The sequence below is a fragment of the Homo sapiens genome, chromosome 1, assembly GCF_000001405.40.
Source record: "Homo sapiens chromosome 1, GRCh38.p14 Primary Assembly".
NCBI lineage: Eukaryota > Metazoa > Chordata > Mammalia > Primates > Hominidae > Homo > Homo sapiens.
In genome coordinates, this window is record NC_000001.11 from 231,269,189 (window position 1) to 231,278,221 (window position 9,033).

The window sequence follows — 9,033 nt, forward strand, 5'->3', positions numbered from 1 at the left end:
GAGAGTGCTGCAGAGGAAAGGGACCATACTCAGGAAGACTTCACAGAAGCGACTTTTGAACCCTTCAGGAAGACCAGGAGAGGATCCTCGCCAAGGCAGGGATGAGGAATGCAAGATGGGAGGCTTGGGCCCCAGAGATTCATCAGTGATATTAAAGTGTTGGCCCAGATGGGGTGGTGGGTAGATGGAAAATAAAGATGGACCTCCCCGCCTCCTCCCCACCATCCACCATCAGAAGACTGGAGGTATAGAAACAAGTTAGGAGGCTGCTCTGTCCCAATGAGAAATGCAGGATGCCTGAGATGCCTGAGCCGCAGCAGTGGAGGCACTCAGGGCACAGCCAAGAGATGAGGAGGATTTACTGACAAAAATGCCAGTCACCAAGAGAGAGACAAATCAGACACCTGTTCTCAGTGCTGTGATGGGCTGGGTCTGGTAGGAGGCAAAGGATGTGTTAATTATGATACAAGTAGCAAGTGTTGGATGTCATGAGAAATAGCTAAAAGGGCTCAAACCCATCATTGTTTGGCCCAGGAACATATGAAAACATAGGTACTTGTTTTTCTAAAGTGTTTTGCTTTTTCAGGATGGGATAAATGCCATAACTAATCCATAACTAAGAGTATCTGTTCAGTGTCACTACAGTTCTGTTCCTTTTTTCTTTTTTTATGCAGATTACCCCACATTCCTAAGCATGTTCATATCTCAAGCTTTTTATGATCATTTCACATAAAATATTATTCAATTGAGCAAGCTGAGACAAGGCAAGTTGTTCAAGAATGAATGTGATCAAGTCCAGGAGGAAGCCATACCTCTCACTTGTCCCTGCCTTGAAGCAGTAGCAGAACTTGCCACCCAACTTGAGCAGTGTGCCACTGCCAGCCAGCTCTTTGGCTCAGGTTAACTGCAGAATAATTTTCCGTGCTGAGAATATTTGTTAAATATCACCATCTCTTCATTATGCTTCTGTAATTCTACCTGCCTGGCAGCTGTCTGCAGGCCAATATGTCAGGTGATAAGCTACCAACTGCCATGGAGCTGCCCCTTTAGTTATCTTTGATTTGGGGAAAACTGCAAAGTGATATTTTTACCATTTTAGTATGGGTCTAAGCAAGGGGTGTGTGTGCATGTGTGTGTGTGTTGTATGTTTTAATGTATTCATACACTAATCATGGGCCTTTTTCTTAGTATTCTTACATTCCCGTGCATGTGACTTTCCAGTTATGTAACTTGCTGTTAGAAAACTTTAGATTCCCTTGGTTCCTGAAGTACACAGAAGTGGTGTTCATTTTCAGAGTAGAAACTGATGTGCCTTTCAGAATGGCTGACAAATTTTGGGGGTAAGAAAGTATGTTACATGTCCTTAGAGAGAGAGAAAGAATTGATTTATGAAATAGTACTTTTAAATTTTTCTTCAGATTTGGTATCATTACCGTAATTGGTAGACAGTAAAACCTGTCACTTGAAAATGAGCATCTGTCACGTTACCATTAATAACGTTAACGTACGCTAGGCCTAAGACTCCCTGCAGTGACCCATCTTGTTTGAATGAATTGTCTTTGTGTGTAGATAATAAACCTGCTGAAGAAGTTGTCCCGGCCAGCATTCTTCTGCATTCCAACATTGCCAGCCTTGTCAAAGACCAGGTGATTCTGAAAGTGGACTCCGGAGACTCGGAAGTGGTCGATGGGCTTATGCTCCAGCACATCACTCTCCTCATGTGCTCAGCTTATAGGAACCAGCTGCTCAACATTTTTGTGCGCCCATCCTTAGTAGCAGTAGCATTGCAGATGACACCAGGGTTCAGGAAAGGTAATTTTCAGGAATGCAATCTTGACTTTTAGAAGAGGTCTGGCCATTCCATTCCATTTAGGGAGCCACATTTGAAGCCTTGTAATGTTCAGCCTCACGCCGGTGAAGAGCAGGCCTATCACTGAGAAAAAGTTAGCTTTGTTCCCCAAATACTTGTTCATCTGCTTCGAATTTTGGAATTGGGAGGACCTGGAAATAATCTAAACCTTTCCTTCTATAAATATGGAAAATGAGGCCTAGAAAGTTGCATAATTACTGAGAGAAGGATCTGGCATTTGAGTACAGTTCTCCACTTCCTGGTCTGCGGCACTGTTTTGGCTGTGCCAGCTCCCTGATCCAGCAAAGGCAGGTGGGCAGATGAGCAGTCAGCAGTCGATGAGTACTCCCGAGATGCATGGTCTTGTTCTAATTGTATCAGGAGTATAAAAATGAGTACAGTACACGTCATGTTCACAGGAGCCTGTAGTCAAGGCCAGGGGGTTCTGTCAAGGCCCTATGTTAGAATTACTAGGGGAGTGAGCCCCACCCCAAAGTTTCTTCAGTTGACCTGGGGTATGGGCCAGCCATTGGTGTTTGGTTTTGGTTTTGGTTTTGGCTTTTCAAAGCTCCACAGTGATTCTAAGGAAAAGTGCTACAGATATAATAAAGATACCAGGAAATATGAATATAGAGGGAAATTAAGAAATCAGTACCTTTCCTTCCCTACTAGGGAGCCATGGGGTAGGGAAAAATGAAGCGTCCTGGCCTCTAAGGACTGTGATGTCTCGCTGAGTAGAAGCCTGGTTGTAGGTTAGAGTCAATCATTTAAAAACTATGCTAGGGCCGGGCGCAGTGGCTCACGCCTGTAATCCCAGCACTTTGGTAGGCCGTGGTAGGAGGATCACGATGTCAGGAGTTCGAGTCCAGCCTGACCAACATGGTGAAACCCTGTCTCTATTAAAATACAAAAATTAGCTGGGCATGGCGGCGAGTGCCTGTAATCCCAGCTACTTGGGAGGCTGAGGCTGGAGAATCGCTTGACCCCAGGAGGCGGAGGTTGCAGTGAGCCAAGATTGCACCATTGCACTCCAGCCTGGGTGACAGAGCGAGACTCCATCTCAAAAAACAAAAAACAAACTATGCTAGACCGTAGTTTGCTCTGTGGGTAAGATTTGGGTTTAATTTAGCTTCCCTCAGGGGACTTAATTCTTGTCCCTGTTACATGAATAAAATATGCCTTTGAAATACATTTTGTGATAGTAAGGACTTCCTGGTACTCCCTTAAAGTTTAAAGGGCAATGTTGTAATTTTACATGATGCATTTATTTCCAGAGGATGTCTACAGTTGCTTTCGCTTCCTACGTGATGTTTTTGCAGATGAGTTCATCTTCCTTCCAGGAAACACACTAAAGGTAAAGTGCTTACAACAAAGAGCAAGTATGTTTGCAGTGTGAGTTCTAGAAATGTTAGGGGTGAATTCACAGATGTGTCTCAGGCAGTGTGCCATCCCTTTCTTCAAGGCAAAGTGGGGCAGACTTCAAGAGAAACTGGGGCGCTCACAGTTCAGCAGACTCTAGTTTGATTCTTGATCAAGTTTAATTAATAACTTAGGGATTATATGGTGAGAGGAGAGTCATTCTTTGAACTATCAGTGTGGCCATTACAACTAAACTAACTTTATTTTAGTAAACGTTTAAAAATCAGCACACAGCCGGGCGCAGTGGCTCATGCCTGTAATCCCAGCACTTTGGGAGGCCGAGGCAGGCGGATCACGAGGTCAAGAGATCGAGACCATCCTGGCCAACATGGTGAAACCCCGTCTGTACTAAAAATACAAAAATTAGCTGGGCGTGGTGGCGCATGCCTGTAGTCCCAGCTACTCAGGAGGCTGAGGCTGAGGCAGGAGAATCACTTGAACCCGGGAGGTGGAGGTTGCTGTGAGCCAAGATTGTGCCACTGCACTCCAGCCTGGTGACAAGAGGAAGACTCCATCTCAAAAAAAAAGAAACCAAACACAACAAAATCAGCACACATTTTCCTGTTAGCAAGTTGTTAGAATGAGTCACCCAGGCAAGTGCCTTTTACTTTGAGAGTAGTGAGTGCTGGTCCTGCCTGGTCTAGACAGCTGAGGGGTCATCAGGCTCGCAGAGCTGGACTGCTGCTGGGTTGAAGTGGGAAGTGACAGTAGATGAGAGGCATGTTAGGTGTTTGTGTGCTTTAAGGATAAGAGGTTTGATTCTGTAGGGAGTGGAACAGGAGTGTTGGAAACTTTTTTTTTTTTTTTTTTTTTGAGGTGGAGTCTGGCTCTGTCGCTCAGGCTAGAGTGCAGTGGCGCAATCTCAGCTCACTGCAAGCTCTGCCTCCCGGGTTCACTCCATTCTCCTGCCTCAGCCTCCCAAGTAGCAGGGACTACAGGCGCCCACCACTACGCCCGGCTAATTTTTTATATTTTTAGTAGAGACGGGGTTTCACTGTGTTAGCCAGGATGGTCTCGATCTCCTGACTTCATGATCCGCCCGCCTCAGCCTCTCAAAGTGCTGGGATTACAGGCGTGAGCCACCGCGCCCAGCCAGAAATTTTTTAACCATAGCATAATTCTAAGTATTTTTAGGACTTGCTGTATGTATTTCCTATTTAAATTAAGGAGTGGTTCTGCAAAGTAAAAGAAAATCCATCACCCAGGTTGTGATTTGTAAGGCTCAGAAATGTTGTGTTTGAAAACATTTTGAATGTAGAGCAGATGCTTCTCTGGCTACTATCTCACAACCAGAATTGTTCTGGAGGTTGGGGAAATAGCTGGTATTCTGTTGTCTGAGGGCATGTGGCTGCATATATTCAGATAGGCAGTGTATCCATTAACCTAGATGAGGGGGTACATGTATTCAGATGGGCACTATACCCATTAACCTAGATGAACATTATGGCTTCCTCTTCCCTTCTAGGACTTTGAAGAAGGCTGTTACCTGCTTTGTAAAAGTGAAGCCATACAAGTGACTACGAAAGACATCCTAGTTACAGAGAAAGGAAATACTGTGTTAGAATTTTTAGTAGGACTCTTTAAACCTTTTGTGGAAAGCTATCAGGTATGTAAATTTGGCAAGTTCTCCTTCATGCCCCCCATATCAAATATAATAAGACATTCTCACCCTGTGCTTATTTCCAGTCTGAAGGGCAGGTATCTTCCCCAGGCAAATGGAAGAAGGAGAGAGAGTGACTAATACGATCAGTGATTTCACCTCACCAGTGAGACCTTGCTCCCCGCATTCAGGAGGAAGCTTGGTTCATTACAGACCCAAGAGGACAACAGCTTAGTGATGCCATGGTCACAGTATTCACAGGACCACAGTTACACCCACGCATCATCTGTCATACTGTGTCTCATGTCTTAATGAGGCCTTCATGTCAGTCAATATGTAACCTCGAGGTTTGATATATATCAGGCACTCAGTAAAGGCAAGACTTGAGTGATACATAAAGTCAGTTACAGATTACCAGATGTTTATGTTGGAAAGAAAAAGTTCAAGTGCAAGTTCTGAAAGCGTTTGTCAGAGCTCTTGGGAGTAGTTAGAGAGATGGGATGGTATGTTGCCCAGCAGGAATTGTGGCAGGACTCAACGGGAGAGAAAGAGTCTGAAACATAAACTGTAGGAAGGACTTCCACATGCTTGAGAGAAGAGGATGCTGTGACTCGGCTCTGTTCATATAATACATGCACTGGCTCTGGGCACCTGGACCCACTTCCTGGTGCTTGTGGTCCGTGAAATAACTCATTCAGCCTCCTTGCACAAAGTCTAGCACTTACTGAGCATTTGATAAATGCTAGTTCTACCCTTAATCACTGTTCTACAGTAGAAATCATCAAGTATTTTAGGGCATGGTACTTTCTTAGGTGTATTTAGAGAAAAAAAGCAAAGTTATTAAAATCTGACCCCTCTCTTCCCAAGTAGCATAAGAGATACGAAGCTGATGGTAATTAACTTGTACCCCTTGAAGTGAGAAATTATACTTTAATAAATGTCATTATTATTTTAAATCTTTTTCTAATTGTAAAATGTAAACTCAAAGGAGATGCCCTAAAAATTCTTTGGTTTTTCTGGGCTCATTCCTTGGAGGGTCTTTATGCTGCTCTCTTGTGATATATCCTTCTCTTAAGAGGGGCAATGTAAAGTTATTTACTATTCTGTTGAACTTGGCTATCCTTTTTCTCTTTCTGTTCCCCTCATCCTTCCTCTTAAAATCAGATAATTTGCAAGTACCTTTTGAGTGAAGAAGAGGACCACTTCAGTGAGGAACAGTACTTGGCTGCAGTCAGAAAATTCACAAGTCAGCTTCTCGATCAAGGTCAGTCACTGCTCTGTGGGTGCTGATTTCTTTTAGTTGAGAATAGAAACTGGTCAACTAACTCTTCCTCACCCCCAATTTTAGGTACCTCTCAATGTTATGATGTATTATCTTCTGATGTGCAGAAAAACGCCTTAGCAGCCTGTGTGAGGCTCGGAGTAGTGGAGAAGAAGAAGATGTAAGTACTGTACAAGATCCCATGAGTGCTCAAGGAACAAGGAAATGAATGACATTTGAGCTCAAAATCCAGAGAGACATAGAAATGGATGATCTAGGAAATGCTATATTCTACTTTCCTTATCCATCCTCTAATTAGTTAAGTCAGTGTGAGTTATCCTGAAAATTGTATGTGGTTATGAATAGAAATGCAACTGAAGCAAAGAAAGGAAGAAATAACTTTAGGCCAATATTTTTGCTTTGACTTAATGTTGAAATTTATAATTACAAGAAAGATTTTCGGGAGTGTAGTGGGCATATGAGTGTAGACACACATAAATACACACATAATACATATATAGATACATACCTGTATATGTATATATAAACATATAGATGTATGTTCTTCTAAGTGGTTGAATTTAACAGTGATAAAGCTTAATAGTAAACTCTGGCAGTCATGTCTCTTATGTGGTCAGAAGAATGAAGCAAGAAGCCAGGAGGTGGGACAGGAGCCTGAGGCCTTTCGACTACTTAGGCCCAGCCTTGAGGAAGGCAATTGAAAAGTAGTCTTACAATAGCTACGTCAGGAACAAAATATAAAAGTTGTCTTTTCCCCAGAGTTTATGTAATAATAAAGCTTATTATTTTCTCCTAGAAATAATAACTGTATATTTAATGTGAATGAACCTGCCACAACCAAATTAGAAGAAATGCTTGGTAAGTGCAGTTTAATAAAATACAAGTTTTCACATTTTGTTGATGAATTAAAATAAGAAAGTATACTGTGGCACCAAATACTTTATCAAAATGATCAGTAAGTAGTAGAGTTCTAACATAAAAGGGAATTACTTATGCAGTCTGGAATTTTCTCAAGGAAGCTAACGAGAAAGCACAAAGAAAATTAACAAAACACAGCAGGCATAAAAGAAGCAGTCTTACACAGTAGAAAGAGTCAGTCCCTAACATGACTGGTCTCAGCCAGAGGCCCAGACCCTTCACATCCTTGCCTCAGAGAGAGTACCTCATCTCCACTCTTTGTTTGATGCTCTCACTGTCTGTCTTGCATTGCTTCTTTCCCAAGTGAGAGATTAGTGTCAGTGTCTCTATCATGTAGACTTTCTGAACTCAGAATTAGGGCTGATAGCACATCCTTGGGAGAATAATCCAACCCTTACTCTTCTCTAGAGCCTATCAGCTATGAAGAAATAGTCTAGTCCAAAAAGAGTCCTTGAGTGTTGTCTTCCTTGACATAAGAGTCCTTGAGTGTTGACATAAACAGAGGTACAATCAGAGGGGGTCAAGAACACTTTTCCTAGCAATGATGCGGCCATTTTAGAAAGGAGGGTGTTAACATTTGGAAAAAATAATCTGCTGATTATATTGAATGGCGTGATGTCCTTGAGTGGATCGTCTTCCAAGTACTGTTTTTGTACCTAATCTTAATTCAGTACCTCGTCAAACCTGCATGGAAGAGCTTTAGATAAATGTCTGTTGGGATTTGCGGAAGACCAGAATGGGGCATACGGAAAAGGAGAATGGATGAAGAAAAGGGTAGAAGGGCAGTGGGGTAGTTGTTGCATATCGGGAAGGCGGAAGTACTAGACCTTGTAGAAAAAAATATGTAGGTCGAAATCCCAGTCTTCTATTTATATCGTGTCTGAAGAGGTGCATATACCTAAAACAACCACAAACACCTCGCCCTGTGAGGGTGACGGAATCAATTACTTAATCACGGAAAGCAGATGTGATGTGAGCGTGAACATACTGGACTGGAGTTCAGAAAACATGACGGGGTTCAACTCCTGGCCCTGGCCCTGTGGCTCTGGCCATGCTGTCACCTCTTGGAGCATCTACCGCTTCCCTTGTGGAGGGGGCTGGCGTCCCCATGGGTACTGGCCAGCCTGTGAAGCTCTGCACAAGTCTCCAGCTTCTCCCCTGGACAGTCGCCCAAGGAACAGCTGTATGAGGAAGGGCAAAATCAGCATCATTTCATGAGCTGCTTCTCTTTTTTCATCTTAGGTTGTAAGACACCAATAGGAAAACCAGCCACTGCAAAACTTTAATAATCAACAAATAGTTATGGAAAATTCGGTCACGTAATTACTCTCATCGAAGGACTCATTACAACAAACAGGGAAGTAAAGGAAGAGACACATCCTCTCATACTCCCTGAGACTCTGAGAACAGTGGACGCAGAGGGAAGAGATGATCATTGGAAGCAATCAGTTTACTCTTCCCCACCACAGTGGTTAAAAGGCGTTTGTATCTGACACTATGTGTGTGTTTTAAAATAAACTTTTGGAAACATGTTTGGAAAAGCAAAGCTCAGCTCATTTCACTAACACTTTTCAGCTTACTATATGTATTAAACTTTTATGTTGACTTTTGAATTAAAGTATGACAACACTGAAAGCTCTGGATATTAAAAGAAAATGAAAAGGGCATATCTACGTTACTTGTAGCTTGCTTTAATTAAAGTTGCCTCAAACAAGTACAAATTTGAAAGAGATATTTAATAAATTAGCTAGCTTACTTTAAATGTTGGCCACCCTAGGGCCTTAATTAACAAAAATGAATTAGTCAAGTATGTGCAACAAAAAGATGCTGTGTGATGCACCATAAATATGTGTAAGAATTCAAGAGAAGAGAAATTTAGAGTAAGTAGGTAACACCAGAAACCTTGGCAAGTAGCCACCTCTGGAAGTGACATGTAAGCTGAGAACTGGATTGAGCAGGAGCCAG

The 9,033-nt window shown here is 42.5% G+C and overlaps 1 protein-coding gene across 3 annotated transcripts in view; it reads left to right on the plus strand.

Moving 5' to 3' along the window:
* Nucleotides 1-8,785, plus strand: part of GNPAT (glyceronephosphate O-acyltransferase) — a 36,762-nt gene extending 27,977 nt beyond the window's left edge. For all 3 annotated transcript variants that reach the window (NM_014236.4, XM_005273313.5, NM_001316350.2), the window contains 7 exons: nucleotides 1,570-1,812; nucleotides 3,124-3,203; nucleotides 4,734-4,874; nucleotides 6,033-6,132; nucleotides 6,217-6,310; nucleotides 6,947-7,008; nucleotides 8,311-8,785. In NM_014236.4, the coding sequence (NP_055051.1) occupies nucleotides 1,570-1,812; nucleotides 3,124-3,203; nucleotides 4,734-4,874; nucleotides 6,033-6,132; nucleotides 6,217-6,310; nucleotides 6,947-7,008; nucleotides 8,311-8,354 (764 nt within the window). In that variant the 3' untranslated portion in view covers nucleotides 8,355-8,785. The remainder of the gene's footprint in view (nucleotides 1-1,569; nucleotides 1,813-3,123; nucleotides 3,204-4,733; nucleotides 4,875-6,032; nucleotides 6,133-6,216; nucleotides 6,311-6,946; nucleotides 7,009-8,310) is intronic.